We start from the raw sequence: 24,751 nt of genomic DNA, 5'->3' as shown, positions 1-24,751 counted from the left end.
TAAGCCATTTCACAGGAAATTTATTAGAACTAATAAGAAAAGTCAGCAGGATTTCTACATATGAGATCAACATAAGAAACTCAAGGTTCAGTATTCCAATAAATTAATGTATAATAGAATAGAACTCATTATAGCCACACAAAAAAAAGATTCATAGAAAAAGAAATAAAATAAAGGTGTGCATGAAATTGATAGAAAAAAATCAAATATTATTTAAGGAATACAATAATAAATGTTGAAATATATTTGCGGAAGAAAAAAATCAATAGCCTAAATGGTATAATTTTTCCCATATTAATCTATAAATTAATTTGTAGTCAACATCCCAGAAGAATTGTTTTATGGATAGAGTCAAACTGATTATAAAATTAATATGTGAAAATAAAGACCCCAAAATAACCAAAACACATAAGAAAAATAGAACTTATGAGAAGTAATTAAAGCAATATATCATTGATACAGTTTTAGTAAAATAGATTAAAAATCTAGAGAGGGGTAAAGAAACATTGCTAACAAACAGGGAAGGGATCATCGAATATTCAACTAAAAATTAAACTATCAACTCCTCACATACACAATAATTTTCCTGCTGTGCTGAAAATTTAAAGGTTTTTTTTAAAAAAATATAAGATGACCTTGCGGTAGGAACAGAATGTCTATGATAAGGCCTGAAGTTGGAGCATGGTATATGATTGCATAAAGCCCAGTGAACATCCGTGGGCATGTGCCAGGATGCAGGGCACAACTTGTCTTGCCAGAAGACGTCGACTTCGCTTGCAATCAAGAAAATGCAAATAATCGTTCTCCTTGCAATTCTGCCACTAAATATACACCTCGGGAAAATTCTAAACATATATCTCAAGAGACAAGTATGAGGATACAGCGCTGTTTGTAACTGAGAAAAAAAATGAAAAGAGACTTCAGTGTCCACCAATAGTGAACTAGGTGAGTATACTGAGATTTCTTTATCCACAAGTAGTGCAGCAGTTAAAAAGAATAAACTAGGTCTTGAGGTATCAATATAGTTAAATTTCAAAAACCATATGAACTTAGCAAAGGATGTACAGAATAAAATACACCATAGGATAGCGTTTCTGTAATTCTTAGTTATTCACAATGTTATATATTTGTTATGAAAAACCAGTGGCTAGAGAAAATTAAAAAATGTGGAAGATTACATGTATTCGATAATATTGTTGTCTCTGGGGAGGGAAGGGGAAAAATGTATCTCTACAGGAAAACAAAAGGAATCTTGGCTTTTAGTTGTAATCATCTACGTCTTTTATGATAACGAAAACCTGAGGCAAAAGTTGAAAAATGTCAATAGTATTAATTCAAGGTAGTAGGTAAATGGGTTGCTTGCCTGGATTCCTTTTGTACTCTTCTTGACTACTGAATTTTTCCCAAAAAAGATAGCATATAAAAAGAGAGGCTTTTATGCATGAAATGGACAAAGAAAAGTCGGGATAAGCGTATTTTTATTTTCTCACAAATGCACAGGAAATGTTATTATTCTATAATGCATTTGAAAATTATAAACATAAATTCATTTATTACGAATTAAGTACTTTCATTATAATTGATACAGTAATGCATAAAATGTATTTTATACCAACACTCAATTACTCATAAATGGATGGTCTAGATTTTGGGATTCTCATCTTTCTTACACATATCCTTTGGTTTGTAATTCCCACCAAAGAGTTTGAATCTTGATAATCATTTCAATAAAATAACTGATACAAGGAAAGTGGAAACATACATAAAAAACGTTTGGTTTTAATCAGATTCATTTATCTGTGTTCAATCCCTGCTTCAGAAGCAAGTTTCAATTTTTTTCCCAGTTTTTGTCCCTGTTAAATGAAAATAGATTATATCTCCTGTCCTTTTCCAAATGTTTAACAGCAATTGATAAAACATACATCACATCAGAGAGAGAGAGAGATAAAACTTCACTTAGGAGATGTTAAATATGTCATATGGTCAGATATTTTCCTGGGAACATTAATTTCCAATATTATCATCAAAAAGTGAAAAAAGTTTAATTTCTGGAAGTTTTCTTATTATTCTGCAGTTTCTAGATGTTTTCTTATTGCTCTGCTTTTCTATCATCTAGTCTACCATTTAGATTAAGTTTTTAAACTTATTTCATCCTCAGAAAACTGAGAAACATTGCATATTCTCTCTTACCATGATTCCTGGAATGTTAAGGGTGAATTGCATGTGGGTTGACAAAAAATACTTAATTTTAATATGTCTCTGCTTTGTAATGAATAGCCACTGATCCCACCTCACTCCATACTACTAACAATCATTATAGATCATCTAGTTAATGACATGGATAGTCCCAAAGGGCAGAAAACACTTAAATGTGAAGTTAGGTGATGCTTATTATACAAGTTCCATTTCACATGGAGGGTGGAAGGCATATACATTCTAAAAAATCATGCTGCTTTTTTTCATTAAAATATTTCCCAACCACCTGCCTCAAAAAGGAGGGTGTACTCTCCACTTTAGGCTCCTGGTAGAGAGAATAATGGCAAGCCTTCATGTAAAGCAAAGGAGACGTGTCTATAAGGAAGCATGGCTGGGAAAATGAGGTGTTTACACCCTTTTGAGATTTTCCAAAACAAAAAATTCCCTCATCATACCTGAGATGCTCCTGATGGCTGCGTCCCTTGAAAGAGATTAATCTTCAAAGTTTTAACTCAAAGATTTAACCTGCCCAAGTTGACCTCAATTACTTGCAAACTACTATTTATGCTTTATAAGAACAATTAATTGCTCATATGGCTACATTCCAGTCCTTTTAAAAAGTCATAAATTGCATCTGATTTATTTTATAAAAAACCTCTTTGTTGAATAATTTGAGAATAAAATAATCACAAGCATTTACACATAGAGCCCCAAGCACACACACACCTGACTGGAATTGGGGGCCTATGCTTAATCCAGCAAAACATGAGAAAATTGTGAACCCTGAAGACCGCAATAGTGGCCTTTTTAATAAAAAAAAAAACAAAAACAGTATCCCAAAGCTTAAAGCATACTGATATATCTCCAAATGCTATTGTACTTAGCAAGCATACCAAGGATTTTACAGTAAAGATGGGTAATTTTTCTGCAGAAGTAATGGCAACCCACCCTGCATAGAAAGCAAATAAATAAATACATGAATAAACCTATGAGATGAAATTTGAAAACAGTCATGAGATGCTAGGTAAAGTCTTCATAAGTGATCTGTACAAATAGTATAGATGTAAACTGTAATTCAAAAGGTATTTTAATAGCTTGCCTACAGTGCAGCTGAAAGATGTTCCCTCCTTAGCTCCATCTTCAGGCTCAGAGAATATTTTATAAACAAAGTTCTGGTTTACTGTCCCTAATGACCAAGATCCTTGAGAAATACTCTCTTAGAGCTGAAAATCAAATCCATTAAAAATAATCTTATAAAATAGGCTTAACATGCTTAGTGTCATTTTACTGTTTTAAAAATTATGTTATCCATCTATTAGGAGGTATCTCAGAATATGTTTTTAAAATCACAAATTTTACCTAAAATACAAAAATAGAATTCTTCAATTTACAAAGTCAATGACAAAATCATTATACAAAAGACTTAGCCTTAAAAATCCTCAAGAACTAAAAGGAGACTATGAACAACATTGAGGATATTAATTCAGAATGTATTAGTTTTCTAATCAATAAACTAAGAAATTATTATAACCCAATTTTATGGATTTTTGGGGGAGGAGGAACAATGAATCCCCAGAAGTTATATGGAAAACTGTATTTATGTGTGTGTGCGTGTTTGTGTGTGTATGTTTATGGTATTCACTGAATTCCCACATTAGACCTTGACCTAGAAGAGGTTGAGATACACTATAAAGTTTCATAAGTATATTAAGTGCTACCTGATTGTATCAATCAGAGACATATGAAATCATAGAAAATTCTATCACTTAATATGAACAGCAAAAAATATTCTCTTATATTTGAAATCCTTGGATACCCGAAAAGCACATTAAGATACACCTATACATATTAAAAACTAATAGTATACAAACTGAATTCTTAGTAGAACAAAATCAAAGTGCAGAATTAGGAAATGAGAACGTAAGCCAATTTAACTTAATCCACTTAAACCGATTAATTCACCTCACTTTCAGAGCATCAAGGTAAAGATCAGCCTTTTCTGTCATTTGGTTAGACAGTCTTCAGACCAAACATGGATTATCCAAAATGCCACTGGGAGTTTTTTTTTTTAACCAGCCAGCAGAATTCTTCAAAGCTATAATTATGTTTTCTCTATATGGAATATTTTTCCCTCTAATTAAGTAAAGATAACAAGTCTCACCTAATGAAGAAGTACAATTTTTCTGAAGAATATTAAATTGCTTGTTACAATCTTATTAGTGCCGATTCTCTATGTTCATTTAGACACTAACATTCTCTTAAGTGCTGTCAGATGCTAGGGATGAATGTACTCACCTAATACACTGATATCACCTTTAATTTACATCCTACTGGATGTGTTCTTTTTTCTCTTTTCTGAGTGGAGTCACTAGTTTTGAGACCCTAGGAAGCTGTGATTCACTGTCAATATTGCCACCTTCTACAGATCACCTCAGTCGGACTTGGGGACACAGGGGCAACGTTGTGAATGTGCTGATGAAAATCTGGATCTCTAGGAAATCTCACATTGGCTTAAAAATAATTTCCCTTATTATCAAAATATGTGAATTTAGAAATGTGGTAAGATGCAAAAATTATCCTGCTGATGATTTCAGGAATTGAATCATTGGATTAACATGTGAATTAAACAAATAATAACCTTAAGAGAAAATGACTTCCACCTCTCTTTGAAACATTCTCTCTTTTTTCATTGGTATAGGATCTGTTCAATACTTCCTTCTGTTATTTAAACCCATAATACAATTATACTGGGTAGCAAAGAGAAGATTTAATAGTTTGAGAAATTTCACAAGTGATATATTGTCAAAAGCCTTCATTTTTTCCCTCCATAATCAGTTTCGACTTGTGAAACAAAAAAACTAAGGCTCCAGACAGATACTGGAATGGGAACCCCTTGCTTCTCGGTGAAAGACATTGCTACTTTTATACTTAAATCCTTGAGCTTTCATTCCTGTTTCACTTCATTCTCCCACCTGCTCCCAGATGCTCCATGGGATCCCCATCTCTACAGAGCACCTGTCCGCTGTTCCCAATATCTTCCCCATCTCAGCATGCCAGTTCCTTCGTTCAGGCACTGCGTGAGCCCCTGTCCACTGGCAGGACCTTGTGTCATTCCGTATCTTATTTTTCTTAAAAGAAAAAAACCAAAAAACAAAAAAAGAAAACCCACAAAAAATCCCTACCGTTTAGGAAATATCATTGTTTCTAACCCATGTGGACCTTATTTTTGCAATACTAAAAAACCACAAACCACTCTGGACCCTAGACAGGCATGTTACAAACATGTCAGACCTGTGCCCTAAGAGAAAGAGTGGCAGTTGAGCAATGCAAATCGATGATCCTCGCTTACTACAAGTCACACCCGAGCAAAACACTAAAAAACAATGCCCCTATCTCTAATAGTGTTCTGTGAATCCTGATATATCTATTTCCCAAGAACAAAATATCTCCCTTATCTGCTACTCTGTGAAACAAAAAGATCACGAGTGAAATGTAAAAGGAAGACTGGGCTGCATCTTGGGTGTCCACCATGTGAGTCATCTGCATTGTTTTCTACAACTCTCCCCTTCCCCATAAATAAGCTAATATAAACTAAGATGCTTTCTTACCAGCCACTATATATATATATATATATATATATATATATATATATATATATATATGGCTATATATATATATATATAGATGGCTATATATATACACACATACATATAGTGATGGCTGTGGCTGGTAAATATATATATATATATATATATATATATATAGAGAGAGAGAGAGAGAGAGAGAGAGAGAGAGAGAGAGAGAGAGACAGGGTCTCAGTCTGTCATCCAGGCTGGAGTGGAGTGGTGCAATCATGACTCACTGCAGACTCACCGTCCTGGGCTGAAGCAATTCTCCCACCTCAGCAGTTCCCAAGTAGCTGGGACCACAGGTATGTACCATCACACCTGGCTAACTTTTTTGTATTTTTTTGGGGGGTGGGGTAGAGATGGGGTTTCACCATGTTGCCTAACATGGTCTCAAACACCTAAGTGATCCACCCACCTCAGCCTTCCAAAATGCTGGGATTACAGGCATGAGCCACCACGCCTAGCCCCATCACTATTATCATTACAGCCACCATTCCCATTGTGTCAGATACTCTCCTAACAACTTAATATGCACCACCTCATTTAACCTTCAAATAACCCTGAAAAATAAACAAGTTTTTGTAACCTGGGTGTCAAAGAAACAGGCTTGGATAACCAAATAACTAACTCATGAGAAATCAATGCGATTAATCATAATATTTTTAAATGTTTATGTTTAGGTCAACTAAAATACTATAAGAATGTAATATAAGAATTCATAAGAAACCAAAGGCTTAGTGAAAAAATGATCTCCATATATATGTTAGAAACTCAACTTATTTTAATGTATTAATATACATAATATTTAACATTATTAATAATATATTAGTCCAGTTATGCTGCCCAAAAAAGTGGATGTCATATCAAGTTGACAAGAATGAATGAATGAATAAAAGTATACTCAAATAACCCTCTATAGGATTACTGTAGACTAGATAGATAGAGAGATGACTGATAGATAGATAGACAGATATAGATAATATATCCACATACATGTAGATTATATGTGTATATATATATATATATATATATATAATCAACACACACACACCATTTTATTCAGAACTGATGTTGAAATAAATGATAGGTTTTGATGTTTGAAGGCATTTGGAGAACACTCCAAAGTTTCTATAACCCTGTACTTGCCCAAACTTCTATGTGCTTGCAAAACCCTGAAGAAGGATTCAAATGAGGAAAAACAATAATTTTAAATTTAACATTGAATTTAACATTTGCTAATTCAATCTTGGGGATGTAAGTGCTGCGTTATAAAATAGGCCCAATTTTAGAGCTTGCAAAAATTATTGATCTTTTTTTAAAACAGTTATTTTTCATTATACTTTAGTAGCTCCAATCATGTATCTCATTTCAGAATCCTATGGATGATATCCTTTATAAAAATTAAATACACTTTAGATCATGGACTTTGTTTATAAAAAGTGAGCAACTGGAGTGTGTACAACTCCTCAAGACACTTTCCCATTCTTTAGCCCCTCTCTACCTTCAACCCCAAGAATTCTTGTCTAAGAGGCACACTTGGGAAAGTGTGGGGCCTCAACCTATTAGCCAGGTGAACCTGAGTCTGAAGGGTTGCCCTGGACTATCGGAGGGGGTGGGAGCAACCAGCACACACACATGCATTTCACACGTCTTGAGGATTGCAGGGAAAGGAATCCCAGTGATGACAATTTATGAGGATTTGAAGAGAAAGGGTCAGTGACAGCCATGTTCGTGGCCAGGAAAGCCTTAAGATGTCAATCAGCAAGTCCAGAAATCCCTCACCTCCTTGTTCCTGTCCCTATTTTACCTCGACACTGGGGTGCGGCAGCCCAGGAGCATGACAGCTGCCCCCGCAGGCCTTGCCTGTGGGAGAGGGAGGGGAACTCTCACCTTTGAACATACTTAATTTCTGCTCCAATGCTGGCTATTTCAGGATTAAAGCGTCCATAGAACTGTGATTTATTTAAAAGTGACCAGAAAAGTCTCGGGACCTGATTAAGTTTTATCTCAGAGTCAGAAAAATATTACCCCCATTGAATAAATGTGAAAAGGAGGTGGGACATTAGAAAACATGTTTTCATTATACCACAAGTCATGCTTTTTTAATAGCGTTACACCAAAACAAGTGAGAATGGTTTCATATAATGGTTAATTTGGTTACACTGAAATAAGTATAAGGCAACTCAGTTTGAAAAGTTGTGAACAATTCTGCCTATAATGTTGACCACCATAAAACAGACACATTTCTGGCAGCCACCATAATATTATCCATAATGCTGCCCTTTCAGATCAACAGTAATTTTAACGTGTTCCCCCAGCTATCTGGTTCAAAGGTTTGCAATTTTCTTAAGCAAAAGAATGGCAAATACTTAATGGAAGCCTTTCAATATTACATTAGAAACAGCCAGCTAGTATCACAAAATGGAAAAGGGTTTCTTCAGTAATGAGGCAAAACAGACCATGAAAGAGGAGAAGTGTTAAGAAAATTCTACACCAAATCCTCTCTGTCTCACAAGGTGTGTTCTTAAGATGATGCTCTAAATCACAGTGGTGAAACCCTGGGTAGAAACCTATTCAGAGCTATAGAAAAAAAAATATTTAACAATCCGCAGTTCTCGATGTGATTGCTGTAGTCGGGCAGAGAGGTGATTGAGCTCATTTGGGAAGCCCTACAATGGTGCTGTTTGCCTCTCAAACGTGCTAACACTGTAAAAGAAGCCCTGGCAACCTCACAATTCCTAAAAAGAATGAGCAGAGCATGGCTTTGGTCTGGGTGGAATTCATGAAACACCCGAGTGGAGGTGATGCCTCCTTGGGGAGAATGGCTGTTATCTGTGGGAAGAGAGGGCCACACGCCTTTGGATCCACTGGGGGAAAAGTGGACAGTGAAGAGAGTGGAATGGAAGATCCATGGCATCCCTGTTCATCAGTGGGTGCCAATTTTCTATATGTGAAATTATGGGAATCTATGTATGGGTTCTCCAAATGGTTTAAACAAGGACTTTGTTAATACCTTCGGTGGTCATTGGGTGTCAGCTGACAATTCACAGAGATGCAGAGGCTAAACAATTTTAGAAAAGTCAAAACAAACTTAACAACTTTATTAGTTTTTCTTTAGAAATAATTTGATGTAATTTAAGATTATATTTTCATTGCTAAATGTGATCAATTTAATGTGAACTGATGGCAAGTTATGAATAAACTACATGGGTCTTCCATATGCCTAGTGGCCAGACAAGTTCAGGGCTATACTCTCGAAAACACTAGAGAACAACAACAAAAAAAGATCCAACTCACTCAAAATGGGAGTCTCAAAGCCCACATACCTTTGTGCATTAGACTGTCCCTCAATCTTTCAAGTTCATGGACTCACATGTGCTAGGTGGAGATGCTTATTCACAGTCTTGAGGTTTTCTTACAGGAAAAGGAAGCCCCTTTAGCTGTAAGTCTCTTGGCTTCTGGAAGACCAACTTATTCCCTCAGAGTCTAGGAGGAAGCCTGGACAAGGAGGGCTCAGGGCAGTCTTCCTGCGTTCGTGGGGAGCACGTCATGGCCTCTGCTCCTCCAAGCTCTAAGAGGGCACTGGCCACTTCAGGGCTTACTGGAACTGGTGGTGATGTCGATCTGAGTCAGGGGCGCAGCAGGCAGGAGCAACTGGTTCATGGTGTAAATGGCATCTTCTCATGTCTGCTGTGTCACTCATCAAATTGCTATTTTGACTCCCAAATGCCTTACTCCATTGTCTTTTTTTTTCTTTTGAGATGGAATTTTGCTCTTGTTGCCCAGGTGGGACTACAGTGGCACGATCTCGGCTTACTGCAACCTCCGCCTCCCAGGTTCAAGTGATTCTCCTGCCTCAGCCTCCCGAGTAGCTGGGTCTACAGGGATGCACCACCACGCCTGGCTAATTTTTTGTATTTTTGTATTTTGTATTTTTAGTAGAGATGGGGTTTCGCCATGTTGTTCAGCCTGGTCTTGAATTTCTGACCTCAGGTGATCCACCCGCGTTGGCCTCCCAAAGTGCTGGGATTACAGGCATGAGCCACTGTGCCTGGCCTCTTACTACATTGTCTTATTCCTCAATCAATTAAGAATCAGAGATGGAAATGGGTGCTATTAAGTAATCCCCCCCTCATCGAAAGACCATGATAGCACTGAGCAAAGTTGAGCACATGAGTGTCTGATGCAGCAGGAGCATACGAGAGGTGAAGACACGGTGAGGAGAGCACAGGTACTGCCGTGAGAGGCTGACGCTCTGTCTGTGTGCGGGAGACCAAGGTGGAGTGGATGGAGCGAAACTGTGCTTGCGTTACTGGAGACTGTAATCATGAGTTTTGTAATAATGACATTCGCATACAAATGTAAATGATATGCAATATCCTTTATTTTAGAAGTCATAAAATTATAGTTTAGAAAAAGAAATGCCTCAGAAAATGATGAAAATAGTAAGCCTTTGGTTTTTACATGAGTTTCTCCACAGGAAGGGCATTGGGAGGAGATGTGAGGAAGCAGACTGTAGTCACAACTGTGAGCAGTGCTTCCCATTTTCCTAGAGTCATCGTTTTAACAATAAACTGTGTCATTTTTAGCTATTTAACAACATTTCTTCCCCAGGTAATTTACATGTACATGCTTGGTGAACAACAAAGTTTTAAGCAAATATACGGCATTATATTATTGCTATTTTTTTATTACTGTTATTATTTTACCTGTTTGGACCAAATCATTTTCAGCTAAGCCTAATAAATAAAATTTCAGTGTGTTTCAATATTTAAAGTGCCACTACGTGTGGCCCTCAGTGGTCCCCAGCCCGCAGGGTCCGGGCCAAGCACTGCACAGCAGTCAGGCTCACAGAGGACAACACCCCAGTAGGCAGCCACACATTACTTGTAGACTGGATTCTGATCCAGCAAACGTGGCAAACACTTCTGCTCATTTTAATTAATCGCATCAACCTCACCTGCAAGATACCCAGGGTTTTTGTTTAGAAGCAAAACCTATTTGGATCCAGGTAGAGAAAGTAGAATTATTTTAAAATGCTATATGATTAATATTGGGCCTATTTTACTGTAATCCAAGAAATGAATCCATCGTGTAACAAATAGACATTCACCTGCTTCAATTTCACTCATTTTCCCTTTATAACTTGTTAGAGTAAATTGTAGTGATATTTATTCTCTCTTGCCAAATTTACAAATACATACACACACACACACACACACACACACATATATATAGTCAGTATACATGTCTGTATACTATATGTATATACATGTCTGGATGAAAAGTATGTCTATTCTATCGCAAGGTATATTTACTGTGTGTATATATATATACAGTAATAAATACATATATACTGTGAAAAATATGTCTATTCTATCACAATCAATGTGCTCTACAACTTTGACCATAAGGATATTATTTATTTATATAATCTTTTTTGACACGATTACAACATTTCAAAAACACAGGATTGGTAAACAACAAGAGCCTATTCTAAGGTTATCCAAATTTTTGAGACTTTTCTGTGACTTAGGAAATGGGCCTATAAATCTGCAAAACCATAAGCTTTCCATGAATTTAAATGAATTAGAAATACTGCAAATATAACCTTTTCTTGCATTATCTGGGGATTTAAATTCAGGTTTGGGTGACTCATGGGAGAAATAGAGAAGAAAATATGGGAGTTACGACAGAAATGAGAATACTGTCTCTTATAAGTCAAACTTCTAATGTGTTGATTCACCTCTAATTTCCCATTAATCTCTATTCTCATTCATATGCTTAGTAATAAGTTTTAAAAGATAAGACCATCCTTATGAATTTACACATTGCCACAGTGGCAATATTCCCATGCAAAGACAAATAATGTGTTTTCCACGGTTTATGTTTGTAGTTTTTCTCTGGGTGTGTGTTTGTAGCAAAAACTGTAGACCATTATATAAGTATTTCCAATTATATAAATTTAAGGCTCTGTAAAATTTAAATGTCAAATGAAAATTTTCTAGAAGTTTCTATGTACAGCTGGACTTATATATTCATTTTTTCAGTGTCAACTTCAGCAGAGCTGTCAATAATTTTATACATAGCTAATTTGGTAGATTTAGCATATTAGTATCATTCTGTGAATCATCTTTATACTTATAGGAAATTAACAAATTAACTGATAACAATAAACAATAGCAAAATCAAGAGTCCTCATCATAGTAAATACTACAATATTTCTGCTGAAATATGGATTATACCATAGCTACTCTCAAATCACAGACTATTGAATATGTTGATCAATGTTCAGTGGGATTTGAGATGTGTACATTTTAATAAGAATTTCAGTGTCCTCTTGTCTTTGAAATCTTCTGAGATGTCTATATTTATTTAAGAACTTTCCCATTAATATATATTAGTTCTAATGTTTTCCAAGAAACCTCTAAAGGCATCAATTTTCAGGAATTTAATTTAAATTTAAGAAGTCTATACGGATGACTAAGAAATTCTCAGGTTTCATTCGAAGACAAGTACGTGAAGACTTGTGAATATGACTGTGCTCTCAATTGTCTGCTCAAGGTCACTATTAGTGACAAGAATAACAAGAAAGTTTTCCACTGATAATATGTAATGGAGAGATATAATTTTTAGATGATGAAATAGCCCTGAAAATCTACTGTTTAAGATGTTTAGGGGCCGGGCGCAGTGGCTCATGCCTGTAATCCCAGCACTTTGGGAGGCCGAGGCAGGCGGATCACCTGAGGTCAGGAGTTCAAGACCAGCCTGACCAACATGGAGAAACCCCATCTCTACTAAAAATACAAAATTAGCCGGGTGTGGTGGCGCATGCCTGTAATCCCAGCTACTTGGGAGGCTGAGGTAGGAGAATCACTTGAACCCGGGAGGCAGAGGTTGCAGTGAGTCCAGATTGTGCCCGTGCACTCCCGCCTGGGCAACAAGAGTGAAACTCCGTCTCAGAAAAAGAAAAATAAAAAAAAGATTAGGGATATGAACCAAAATGATTACCATAGAGACCCTCTATCCATAATCCACGAAATAAGTGAAGAAATAAGATGAAGAATTACTGATCCAAAACCCATCATGAAATAGGTTCCGAAGGAGGCATGAGTTACTCCACAAATTCCAGTGCCTTACCTGTTCTTAGAGTGTCTTCTTCCTGGATTTATAAAATTTTTAGATTTATTGGTGCACAAAAGGCCACATCTACCTTCAGTCCATAAAGAATGCATTTGCATATCTATGCATAGGAAATTATTAATTCATCAGTGTAAACGGGAGGGTACCCCAGGGAGAGGGTTTCACTTCCTAAAGAATAATCATTAAAACCCATCAAGTCAGATTACCTTGTTAAAATAAAATATATTAATGAAGTTTAACTTATTGGTTACCCTGTAATATGAAGCTGCTTTTGGAGTTGAGCCTTTAAGTTATTTATTACAGTAATGACAACAGAACCGAACATCCATCAACTCCTACCTTTTCTGTTCATCTTGACTGTGGAGGCAAGAATTCATGGTATTCACCAAAAAGCTAAACAAACGACTGTACAGGGACTTGGCCAAGAGGTCTCGGAAAAACTCAGCAATCTGTATGGTATGTCGTCGTATTATCATATCCCCTAAAATGGTAGAAAGAAAAGGAGGAGTGAGCACAAGGGTTCCCTCATTTAGAAGCCAACCAAAACTCCACATATCCTATTAATTCCCCACACATCCACAAGACAAGTGATGTATAAAAATTATACGGATTCTCATAAATGAGGTCTCCGTCAGTTATTATGCAAAATGTTTCCTAAAGCAGAAGTCATGTACATTGCAATCTTCTTTGTTAGAATTGTTGACCACAGCGTTCCACCTTTATTGTAGGTTGTGTAATTTCACCTCAGTTAGGGAAACAGTTCTTCACAGGGTCCCTCCTGGCAAGGCTTTTGATAACAACTCACTGGTTTGGATACTGAATCATCCTAAGGCATGTGGAAACGGGCTTTCTGGAAAATCAGATATATTTTAAATATTTTCAAAGGCATGATCTCATCAACAAGAATGTGGTTCTGGAGTTTGGAAAGAAGATTGGGCCTTAGGTAGGAATTTCTATGTCATTCTCAAAGAGACAGTGATTGAACTCTTGAGTGATAGGTTTGGGGAAGGGACTAGAATAGAGGTGGGCCCAAGGAAAAAAGAGCAAGGGTGGTTTGGCATTGAGCCTATCCCATCACTGTTGCAGGAGGGCTGAGTGTGAATGGGAGCCTAGAATTCATATTCTATGGCCTTGGCCAAACTTGCTGACCATTGCGTCTCAGGCAGAGCAGGAGACTAGGAACAGGGCGGGGTCCACGTGCAATGCGGGTTGAGGTGTTTCCAATCTGTTAGAAGCACGGGTGAGGAAGGATACCTACTGATACTGGCGGAAAATGTAGTCAGAGAGCTGCAAGTTCAAGGCCATCGAGATGGAACAACACAAGGGGAAGGGGCAGTGAAAGTGGGTGTGGCCATTTATGACATTGTGAAATTGACGTTCCTAGAGCCATGTGACTGAGGAGGGCAGGTGGGTCACCCACAGGGTGGTGGTAGCAAGTGAGGGTGGTGTAAGCAGAGGAAATCATAGATACTAATAGTGAGCTCAATGTTTCTCAAAAGAAGGTGCGAAGAAGAACAATGTCTTCAAGATGCTTAGTGTGGCTGGAGGCAAGGGTGCCAGTGGGGCCTCCTAAGCCATCTAAAGTGATGAGCTGGTGTATCTTTGAAAGACTGTTGGCCTTATTCCTGAAATGCCTATTGCATTTCAGAAAGATTATTTCAGAAGTAGTGTGGAAGGAGGGCAAGTTGAGATAAGGTGAGATAAAAGAGGAACCAGGAGTGTCTTGCTGTAAGGCAGGGAAAGAATGATAAATTCAGCAGTGCTGATGAAAATGAAGGGAAGGCAGTAGGAATGGGAGATATTTATGGCGTGTGTCTGACCTATGCATGGAGGAGGTAGAAGAGAAAGAGCTATCAAGTATAACTTTTGGGCAACTGAGTGAACAATGGGGAGATTCATTACGTTTGGGGATATTCTGAGAGTAGAAGTGAGGCAGGAATAATGACTCACCTACCTAAATACATGCACATAGGCCCAAAAGGCCATAGAGAAAGAATAGTAGCGATTTAGAGAAAAAAGATTAGATGAATGGTGAGTTCTCACAATCACAATAAAGAGGAAAATAGTAAGGCCATCATTTAGAGTGAGTACTTGAAGATCATGTGGGAAAACCACTCTCTTTGTTCACTGAGTAGAGATGCATGTAGCATAGAGATTAAGCATGTCATCTGGGAGTCAGACAGCGCTAGATTCTAATTCCAAACATGTCACTTACTAGTGATTTGAGGTTCAAAGTTATTTAACTTATTTGAATTTTAGTTTTCCCCTCTGTTAAAATGGAAATAGTAATGCCCACATCAGAGCAATCTGTGAGAATTCAAACACTACAATTTTTATAGGACTTGGCACAATGCCTATCAGTTTATATATGTCCAATAAATGACAGCTGTTCTAACCAATGAGGTAGCAGGAAAAGGTTGGTCCTTCATTGAAGAGTGCAGCATGGCACCACACATGCAAATGGATCCAATATTTTCTTTGAAGAAACCCTCTTGGATTGATGGTTTTGTTTTTCTAAGGTGACAGATTATCTAGAAAGGGTGACCAGTTAGGCAAAATGGTCTCTCAGGAGCATAAAGAGTCTACACTATAGTCATGTCAAATGACCAAACAGGCTCAGAATGCTTTCCTCATTTGGCATTCAATTCATAGAAATAGTTTCACTAAGTGGGGACAAGTCAAACTGTATTTAATTTTCATATTTGATTCTAAATTGCACAAAGATGTTAGAGCATAAAAAAATTACCTTTAAAATATTGAATATCAGTTGTTAAGGCAGATGCCAATTCATCTGTTGATACTTGTAACATTCCAGCCACTAAAATTAAATCAGCATTATAAACATAAAGTTAGTATATTTTTTGATACCAAGAACATTGAATTTTATGGCCATAATTGATAAGTTTTATATAGGCACATTACAAAACATGAGTATTTTAAAAAGTCATTACCACTGTAATTGTCAAATTCAACTAGAGAAACATCTTACAGTAATCAAAATATTAATGAGTTCTTACAGTTCTGTGCATTAAATCACAGCGGATGTTTTTCCTCCCTGTCCTCACAGATGGTATGGAATTGTTTTTTTCCAGGTACCTGGTTAAATCTCTTTGATATAGGTGAAGATATGTTGTTTCCTGACAATCTGTGGTTTTAAGGTATTTTTTAAAAATCTGGGAGCGACTAACGAGGCAACTTCAAAGAGAGAGATTTTTGGCAAGATCTTTGAAAGGGAATTAATTACATTCTGTTTAAAATGTTGAGCTAATAACATGCTCCCAAAATACACTGGGTAGTGGGGTGAAGGGTACTTAGAACAATATAAATAAACAACAAGTATGTGCTAAAGAATCAGTGTTGCTAATGTGGTGCACAGAATGAGAACATAAAAGTACATCTTGCTACTCATTTCCACAACAGATTTTAAGAAAAAACAAAGTAGACAATTTCCCCCCCTCACTGAATTCTACTATAGAGGAAAGGGTTTAAGCCAACTGGCTTTTCTGTACTATGTCGCCATCTACTGGTAGATCTACAAAATTGCACATCAATGTGGTTAATGTCAGAAGGTCATGTTCCACTGACCTTGTTCCAGGAGCTGGAGGTCAGAAACGAAGGCGGAGTTCCCCTCATTCAGGGCAGTAAACCGAATGTCTCCAAGGTGCAATATTGCTGCTAGAATTACGAACAGATTCTCCACCTCCTATGCATTTTACAAACAGAGAGAATGAATAGGGTGCTTAGAAGAAAGATTAAAAGGCAAAATTTTTAAATATCTAAAAGTAAGTTACAAAAATGATGACCCTATTAATGAGGTTGGGAGTTTGCAGATCCCAAATGTTCGATATGGCAAGAAAACTACCAGTCTCTACCTCAACATCAAAACCTCATAATTCAAAACATATTTTCTCTAAATCAATGTTCCTGTTCCTGAAATATAAGAGAGTCAGGAAATAATATTCTGATATAAATTAACAGCTTGTAGATAATTGTAATAACAAAAATGAATAATTGTGTGCTTAGGGTTTGACTGGCTGGGCTTCACTTGTAAGGTTAGACTTCACTCCCCCTCCTCTCCAGGCTCACGTTGGACGCTATTTAGACTTTGCAGTTGCTGTGGCCGCTTCATTCAAGAACCTACATCATGGTGTTCATTTCTTCGCTATCTCTCTTATGAGATAAATTAACACGATGATTACAGAATTGTTTACTTCTCCTGGAAAAACTAAAGGAGGCCTAATGAAAACAACTGTGCCTAGACTCAAAAAATGCTAATTGTTTTTTAAGGTATTTTAAGGAAAACAGAAAAAAATGGATGTTGGCAAGAGCTATCTTTGAGCAGAGGGTAGCAGGAAGTAAGAGAATGCTGAAAGAGAATCTGGAACGCTGCATAAAAAAAATGAGACCTTAAATTTGATTTTGGATAGTCATTTTTTGGCAAGAATGAAAAATCAAGAAAAAGCTGCAAGTTAAACTGTACTTTTCTAGAATGTCAAATATTTAGCATGATGATATCAACAGTAAAACAGGTTGAGCCCCGTGAAGGGCAAGTGGCATAGCCTGTTCTGTTCTCAGTCTCCTAATCTGTAATTTGAGAACAAAAACTCCTTCCCTAACTACTGTGGAAGCGGTTCTAAGAACAATGCTGATGTGCTTTATAAATACACAGTGGAAACAATACACTTCTTGAGACTTCCGTGATTTTCCCCAGAGCTTGTAGTTTTCATAATAAGGTATGATTTTACCAATTTTAAAGTGAGAGCATTGAAAAGAATGATCTCTAATTTTCAGGTATAATAATATTTTATGAAAGTGATATACATATAAAAATGTTTTTGGTTAACCCCTAAATCATAAATTTGTTTTTCAAATTTAATTTACTTATGCTGTATAAAATGGCATTATTCAAGCCTCTCAAATTTCTTAACTACTTGTCAACTTATTTTTTTTCCTTTTTTTTTTTTTTTGAGACAGGGTTTCACTCTGTTGCCCAGGCTGGAGTGTAGTGGCGCAATCATAACTTACTACGGCCTTGACCTCCCGGGCTCAAGTGATCCTCCCACTTCAGCCTCTTGAGTAGCTGGGACTACAGGCAAAAAATAGTGTCCAGCTAATGTTTTTGAAAAAAATTGTAGAGATGGAGGTCTCACTATGCTGTTCAGGTTGGTCTCGAACTCCTGGCCTCAAGCAATCCGCTCATCTTGGTCTCCCAAAGTGCTGGGATTACAGGCGTGCACCACCATGCCCAGCTTTTTTTTTTTTTTTCCTTTAAATCAATTAGTCTTCATGAAAGGTTCCGGTACCTACAAGATAGGCACCTCTGGATAGACAGCCGAAGACTCTGTGCTGTCCTCAAGAACCTCACAATTTACAGAGCTGTGAAAATAGCTATAATGTGCATTACAGTGTGGTGGACCCTATGACAAAAGTAAAAATAAACTCCTTCCTGAGCAGAAAGGAGGCTGTGCTTCTGCGTCTCTGTGTAGTGAGCAGCCATCCCTGCCGCCCGGCTAGACGGGAGAGCTGGAGGCACTGTTACGAACAGATCTGTCAGGACCACAATCACCAGTGTTGATTCAAGGACTTCACTGGCCCAGAAATACCTTCCTTTGAATCTTACTGGACATAATCTATCCCTCTAAAGTGGACTCAACTCACCATTCAAGTCACTCCCAGGGTCAGGATGAAGAAATTAATTTCATGTTTTTTGCTAGGGTGTGCATACTTCTTTTACCAAGAAGGCTATGAGTCTCCCTGGGTTACCTTAGTCAGAAAGTGTACTTTGCTTGCCCTGCCTTTGAGGATCAGTCATGAATTTTCAAAGCCCTGTTTCCAGGCAACTGATATTTTGGCAGAATGGTTTCTATCCATATCTCTAGCTTCACTTCCTATGAGGAAGCAGACATTTCAGGCATGGAAGGAGGGAAAAAAATCAAAACAAAAAAGTACCACAGCAGCAAGTGCAAAGACAGAACAGTGCCAGTGGGTAGGACTCAGTAAAGGAGAAAAACTAAAGGAGAAAAACAGAGGCCGGGTAATCAGAGCCAAAAAGAATGAGATGCCATGTGATTGCAGGCTCCTCGAGTTCCAGTCTCTCAAAACAGCAAGGGTGGGTGCAGCAAGGTGCCCCTGCATTCACTCATTTAGGGTGGGCCTCACTTCCTTCCCCTTCCTCCTGTGGACCTCTCCACCCTCCCCACCTACTCACTGCCCCGTCAGCCATAACGGTGTGGGCAGGGAAATAAACACAGACCCAAATCCATCCATGTATTGGCTTCAGAAAAATAAATAGAAGAGATTTAAATCTGTGACCTAATCTGGGCTTGTGAACTACTGGCATGTCCAAGTTATCCCTGTGATATTATATTAAATATTCTTGAGGAATTGGCCGTAAATTGACCATAATCCAAAACACCACCATGTTGAATGGAGGCAGAGATAATGCCTCTGGGAAATAGAGATTGAAGGGAATTCTGAGAGGTTTCTCTCAAGTCTTAGACCATTTCTTATGTCTTATTCACTGGCTGGGTGCTGTTTGATTCAGTAACCACTAACCACACATGGCTATGTCAATTTACATTAATTAAAATAAAGAAATATTAAACATTTATTTCTTCAGCCCACTAGCCACACTTCAAGCATCCAGGAGCCACACGTGGCTGGAAACTACCCTGTGGTACAGCACCATGCAGGTCACTAACTTTTCCATCATCATAGATGTTTCTACGGCACGGCCATGATCTAAAAGTTTTAAAGTGTAATTTTTCAGCTTCATAATGCTTGCAGGTACTTGGCCATTCTGTGCAATTAAATATGACAATATTAAAACATTTATATTGTTCAAGAAGATGTTTTAACAAGGTGATTATGTTAATTTTCAAGTGATTCTTTACATGAACAGTTACTTCAGGTTTACCAGTTTTTTCATGAGTTGATCAAGTATAAAGTTATTTGATCTGTTTTGGATACATATATAAAATATATATGTTGAATATTATATATATTTAAATATATTAAATTATATTTTATAAATATAATTTATAAAGTTTATGATTAAAATATATTTTAAATATTTTAAAATGATATATTATAAATATATATTTAAAAATATATATAATGTATATATTATATTCATTTTGGGAAAGGGCTCCTTGTCCACCCTCTTGGAAACTGCACCCTCTCCTCTTGCCACTCTCTGCTGACTGCTCTGTTTTCTTCCTAGTTCCTTTCTTCCTCAACATGTGGATGAAGTCCTGCCCCCTGCCTCCACTAGCATGTCAGCTCTAGGAGGCAGGGATTGGGGCTTGTTGTCTGCCGAATCATCAGTGTCCTCGGCAACATCTGGAATGTCATAGGGGCTCAGTAAATGCTTTTGAATGAATAACTTTTATAAATTAGTAGAAGGTTGATTTTCTCAGTGAAATATTTATGACATGACTCACCAAGCTGCTGAAGCCAACTACATTCAGGGCTCGTTTCAAAACAGCCAATTTCTCCCTGTTCAGAGAACGCTCCCCTGTGGATGCATCATCCTGTATGGTCTGGTTCAAATACCTGTTAGGAGACAAGGCACGTAACGTTATCGCCTGGCTTCCGGTCAGACTTCTGTGGTTAAAAGTCACTTCTGCCGTATTTGATCTCTAAAATGATGGGAATCACCTGGACATGGTGTCCCCACGTGTTTTCAAAGCATTTGGTGCATCACAGCACATGATATCTCAGGAAAGGAAAACATTAGTTCTTGTTGTACCAGGACATATTTACATTGCTTTACTCGGTTTTCATCTTAGCTGCACCTTTCCTTGTGACAGGAGAAGGTCACAAGTGATTCATGTTTTTGTTTTTTTTTTTTTTTTTTGAGATGGAGTTTCACTCTTGTCATCCAGGCTGGAGCACAGTGCACAGTCTTGGCTCACTGCAACCTCCACCTCCCAGGTTCAAGCGTTTCTCCTGCCTCAACCTCTTGACTAGCTGGGATTACAGGTGCGTGCCACCACGCCCGGCTAATTTTTGTATTTTTAGTAGAGACGGGGTTTCACCATGTTGTTCAGGCTGGTCTCAAACTCCTGACCTTGTGATCCACCCACCTCGGCCTCCCAAAGTGCTGGGATTACAGGCGTGAGCCACCGCACCTGGCCGTGACTCATGAATTTCATACAAAAATTCAACAGGTTCTATCATATGGTTTGTAATTAATATTTGAACTAAAGATGCCTAGTTTATAGTAAGTTATTATTTTTCCTTGTTGGTACTTTTCAATAATGAGATGGTTGATTATGCCATTGATTTACTCCTTTCCCTCAACAAACATGTACGAATCACCTATCTAATACAGGCAATACCAAGCAGCTGAGAATGTGAAGGAAAAGGACTCAACAACAGCAAAATAAACTATCCAGGGGCACAGATAAGGGAGGTAAAATCAGAGAGATAGAGTCTAGGTATAAGTGTGCAGGAAGGGGCTGCAACCAGAAGTAGGCAATGAGGAAACACAGTGGCGAAAGGCAGGCTGTGATTCCAAGAATTTGCCAAGCAACTCCCAGGCTTTCAGGTTATCCCTGGAATAATTAGAATATGTACAAAGCAGAAAGAATTGGTCAAGCATGATGCATACGGGGAAAATATATCCATGTGTGCAAAATTGGAGCCTACGGTGAGATGAGCAAAGATTGATGAGATTGGAGAAGTAGCCAGGGCTTTGTATAGCTTGGAAAAAAAAAGAGTTTGTCATGTCTTGGAAGTGACAGGCAGCTCTGAGGGCCTTGCAACAAAGAAGTGGCATGATCATGTTGGCGCCTTGGAAAGAATATCCTGGTAGCCCAGGGCAAGATTACCTGCAAAGAGGTAAGGCAAGTAAGGGGAGTGTGTGGCCCAGTGAGAGGCCAGCAGTGGTGAAGAAGAGGACGGATGGGGAGAGGGGAAGGGAGGAGAGAGAGCTGGCAGTACAAGGGGGTGAACTGGGCACGGGGAGGTGGAAAGCAGGGAGCTCATGATGAGTAGCAAGTCTCTGTCTGGGAAAACAGGGTGGATTGCGGGCCCATTCAACTGGAAAACATTCTCAAGAGGAGGAATAGGTTTCTGGAGAGATAAAGTCTTATATTTGATATTAGACATATTGACTTTAAATTACTTGTTAAAGTTTAAATGTAGTCCCAAGAAATAATAGCTATAAAGATCTGGAATTCAGAAAAACACTAGAGAATAGGATCTGGAAGTCATCAATACGCAGAAGGCTAAAACCATGGGAGTGGGTGAGCTCACTCAAAATGAGACGCTGGAATTAGGGCTGAGGAAAGAATGGCGTGTCCAGGACAGAGTAAGAATGTTACAAAAAATCTGAGTCATTAAAACAAAAGGAGAAGGTGTTTTTTGTTTTGTTTTGTTTTGTTTTGAGATAGAATCTCCCTCTGTTGCCCAGGCTGGAGTGCAGTGGGGCAATCTTGGCTCACTGCAACCTTCACCTCCCGGGTTCAAGCAATTCCGCTGCCTCAGCCTCCTGGGTAGCTGGGATTACAGGCGCCTGCCACCGTGCCCGGCTAATTTTTGTATTTTTAGTAGAGACGAGTTTTCACCATCTTGGCCAGGCTGGTTGAACTCCTTACCTCGTGATCCACCCGCCTTGGCCTTCCAAAATGCTGGGTTTACAGGCATGAGCCACCGCGCCTGGCTGGAGAAGGTGACTTTAAGACTGAATGATAGTGATGGAAAAGAGACCACAGAAACCAGGAAATTGTGCCCTTGACAAAGGGAATGTTTCCTGGAATTGGAAGGGAGAAGCAGACCATGGTGGCCATGTGAGCTGGATCTGTGAGAACTTCTTTTTCCCCAATCTCGGCTGATGGTGGAAGAACAATCTAGGGGCTGGAGTGGGGTGTGGGAGAGACTTTGGAATATGAATCTGCTGAGATAGAAGCACCAAAAAACCACATAAAAGACTTCAAGAAAAGGAGCTGCGGAAAATCCTGAAGAGGGGGACATGGATGAGGTAAGGAGAGGGTGTGGAGTTGGTGCACAGGGAAGGTCTGCCTCTCGCTGCAGAAATGACCTGACTTTCTAGGACGACACAGGTAAGGTGACAAACATGACCCTGAAGGCTGGTGCCATCTCAGGGGAGCAGGGCAACCAATGGTTGTGGCTTTGGTTTTTCCAGGAGAGAAAGAGGTTGGAGGTTTCGATGACTAGGTGAAGGTCGTGGGAACCTAAGACATTTGCTGCGGAGAAGGGACACAGCTGCGGAGCAGAGAGCAGCAGGAGCTCAGCTGATGCCGCAGGATGCCGTGCCCAGGTGGCAGTGGCGACCAGCTCCTGGGGTGGTGTTACTTCTTCTAGGGCTCCTCAAATGCCTGATGGAGGGTGAGCAAGCTGGGGTTTGGAGCAGTGGAACAGGAAAAGGTCAAGGACAATGATATCAGTAAGAAACTGGCTTACCATGGTCAGAGGGTCTTTCTGTCTGCAATCTATAAACCTTTAGCAATAAATGTTTATTATTATTATTACTATTATTATACAGGGTCTTGCTCTGTCTCCAGGCTGGAGGGCATGGTGTGACCTCAACTCAGTGCAGCTCTGCCTCCCAGGCACAAGTGACCCTCCCACCTCAGCCTCCCGAATAGCTGGGATCACAGGCACATGTCGCCACGCCTGGCTAATTCTTTGTATTTTTAGTAGAGACAGGGTCTTGCCATGTTGCCCAGGCTGGTCTTGAACTCCTGATCCCAAGCAGTCTGCATGCCTTGGCCTCCCAAAGTGCTGGAATTACAGGTGTGAGCCACCACACGCTGGCCCTAGTGATAAACCTTAATGATAAAAAACTGTAACCCCTCTCCATACTTCTGGTCCTCGCAGCAGGTTTCTATGCATCTTCCTGACATTCTCTTTTTTTCTGACTTACTTGATCATTGCACAGGTTAATAATCCATTGAGGGGCCACTTGTTTTGCAAATAACAATTGGCTCCTGTTTTCATTAGAGTCAAAGGGGCAAAAAAAAATTTCTTTTACAATTCTTGATAAGTAATTAATTAGTAAGCTCCCTGCAGCCCTGCACCAGCTAGCTTAAGTATTTCTTTAAACCTCCCCATCCTCCATTTTATTTTACTTTTTAGCCTAGAATTTACAGCAGCTATGACCTGCTCCATGAGAAAGTGCGAATACAGCGGCATGTTTATTTCAGTTAATTCTGGGTAGACGAAGCCCTGTGAAGAAATCCCGGTAGTTGCAGACAGGTCTGTTAACTACGTAATGGGTCAGGTGGGAACCAATTCAAAACAGACAATCTGAAAGGGCAGTTTGCCTGATGGCAGGAAAGATGGCTTCAGCTTGGTTGTGAGCATTTTCCTCTGTAGCCAGAAAACTTGTCATAAAGACGAAGAAAAAAACACAATGCCTTTTATACAATGCTTAAACTTCTCCCACTATTCAAAAGCATCTAGGATGATTTCACTAGAAATGAGGTTCTTAATTATCAGCAAAACTATATCTTAAAATGGGAATTAAAAAAACTACATGTTTATTTTTTGGAGATTAAAAATACTAATTTTCCCTTTGACATCACTCCATCACGAAATCTCACATAAGGGCAAAAAAACTTGGAAAATATGCATGGTAAAATATGGAAACCAAGAATCTGGAGACATATTTAAGTAATATTTGACAATTTCTAAAAAAAAAAAAACAAAACTCAAAACATTTAAATCTTTATTATCGGTAAAACAGAGTAAAAATATATTAAAAATAGGTTTAAAAATTCTCCATTTCTAGTTCACAGTGATTTTGTGAATGACAA

General features: G+C 38.4%; 1 protein-coding gene across 7 annotated transcripts in view; it reads right to left on the bottom strand.

Moving 5' to 3' along the window:
- Positions 1-24,751, bottom strand: part of MYO16 (myosin XVI) — a 712,290-nt gene that overhangs the window by 229,796 nt on the left and 457,743 nt on the right. For all 7 annotated transcript variants that reach the window (XM_011521062.2, XM_047430183.1, NM_015011.3 and 4 more), the window contains 4 exons: positions 20,411-20,522; positions 16,554-16,671; positions 15,715-15,786; positions 13,308-13,449 (listed from right to left, as the gene is read on the bottom strand). In XM_011521062.2, the coding sequence (XP_011519364.1) occupies positions 13,308-13,449; positions 15,715-15,786; positions 16,554-16,671; positions 20,411-20,522 (444 nt within the window). The remainder of the gene's footprint in view (positions 1-13,307; positions 13,450-15,714; positions 15,787-16,553; positions 16,672-20,410; positions 20,523-24,751) is intronic.

This window comes from Homo sapiens, chromosome 13, assembly GCF_000001405.40.
Source record: "Homo sapiens chromosome 13, GRCh38.p14 Primary Assembly".
In the NCBI taxonomy this organism is placed as follows: Eukaryota; Metazoa; Chordata; class Mammalia; order Primates; family Hominidae; genus Homo; species Homo sapiens.
This window is presented reverse-complemented; position numbering and strand designations above follow the sequence as displayed.